The sequence below is a fragment of the Homo sapiens genome, chromosome 5 (assembly GCF_000001405.40).
Source record: "Homo sapiens chromosome 5, GRCh38.p14 Primary Assembly".
Lineage (NCBI taxonomy): Eukaryota > Metazoa > Chordata > Mammalia > Primates > Hominidae > Homo > Homo sapiens.
Window position 1 is genome coordinate 42,224,686 of NC_000005.10, and position 1,307 is coordinate 42,225,992.

Here is a 1,307-nt window from a genome sequence, read left to right on the forward strand (position 1 = left end):
CCACAGGGGTTTAGTGTACATATTATTTCATCACCCAAGTAATAAGCACAGTACTCAACAGGTAGTTTCTTTTTCCTTTCCCTTCTCCCAACCTACACCCTCAAGTTAGCCCCAGCATCTCTGTGTTCCCTTCTTTGTGTCCACGTGTACTCAATGTTTAGCTCCCACTTATGAGTGAGAACATGCAGTGTTTGGTTTTCTGTTCCTGCATTAGTTCGCTTAGGATAATGGCCTTCAGCTCCACCCATGTTGCTGCAAAGACATTATCTCATTCTTTTTTATAGCTGTGCAGTATTCCATTGTGTACTATGGAATTCACGTTTTCTAGGTATAAAATTATATCATCTGCAAACAGAGACAATTTGATTTTTTTCTCTTCCTATTTGGATGCCTTTTATTTCTTTCTCTTGCCCGATTGTTCTGGCTAGGACCTCCTTTACTATATTGAATAGGCATGGTGCAAGTGAGCATGCTTGTTTTGTTGTGGTTCTCAAGGGAAATGCTTCTAGCTTTTTCCCATTCAGTATGATGTTGGCTGTAGGTTTGTCACAAATGGGTCTTTTTGTTTTGAGGTATGTTCCCTCAATGCCTAGTTTACTGAGGGTTTTTTACATGAAGAGATGCTGAATTCTATCAAAAGCCTTTTCTGCGTCTATTGAGATTATAATGTGGTTTTTGTTTTTAGCTCTTTATATGTGACAAATAACACATTGATTTGTGTATGTTAATCCAACCTTGCATCCTAGGGATAAAGCCTACTTGCTCATAGTGGATTAGCTTTTTGATGTCCTACTGGGTTGGGTTTGCTAGTATTTTGTTGAGGAATTTCGCATCTATATTCATCAAGGATATTGGCCTGAAGTTTTCCTTTTTTGTTGTGTTTTTGCCAGGTTTTGGTATCAGGATGATGCTGGCCTCATAAAATGGGTTATGGGGGAGTCAAACCTTCCTCAATTTTTTGGAATAGTTTCAGTAAGAATAGTACCAGCTTTCCCTTATTCATGTGGTAGAATTCAGCTGTAAATCCATCTGGACCTGGGATTTTTCTGGTTGGTAGGCTTTTTAGCTTTTTATTACTGATTCAACTTCAGAACTTATTATTGGTCTGTTCACTGAATTTCTTCCTGTTCCAGTATTGGGGGGTTGTATGTTTTCAGGAATTTATCCATTGCTTGTAAGTTTTCCAGTTTGTATGCACAGAAGTGTTCATAATAGTTTCTGATGATTTTTTGTATTTCTTTGGGGTCTGTGGTAATGTCCCCTTTTGTCATCTCTGATTGCATTTATTTGGATCTTCTTTTTAAATT

At 37.8% G+C, this 1,307-nt stretch overlaps 1 annotated feature.

The window, feature by feature from the left end:
- Positions 379-906: an enhancer, noted in NCBI's record as "NANOG hESC enhancer chr5:42225166-42225693 (GRCh37/hg19 assembly coordinates)". NCBI's record gives its function as "activates a minimal SCP1, AML or CMV promoter by ChIP-STARR-seq in naive H9 embryonic stem cells {active_cell/tissue: H9 hESC(naive)}" and the evidence as "EXISTENCE:reporter gene assay evidence [ECO:0000049][PMID:30033119]".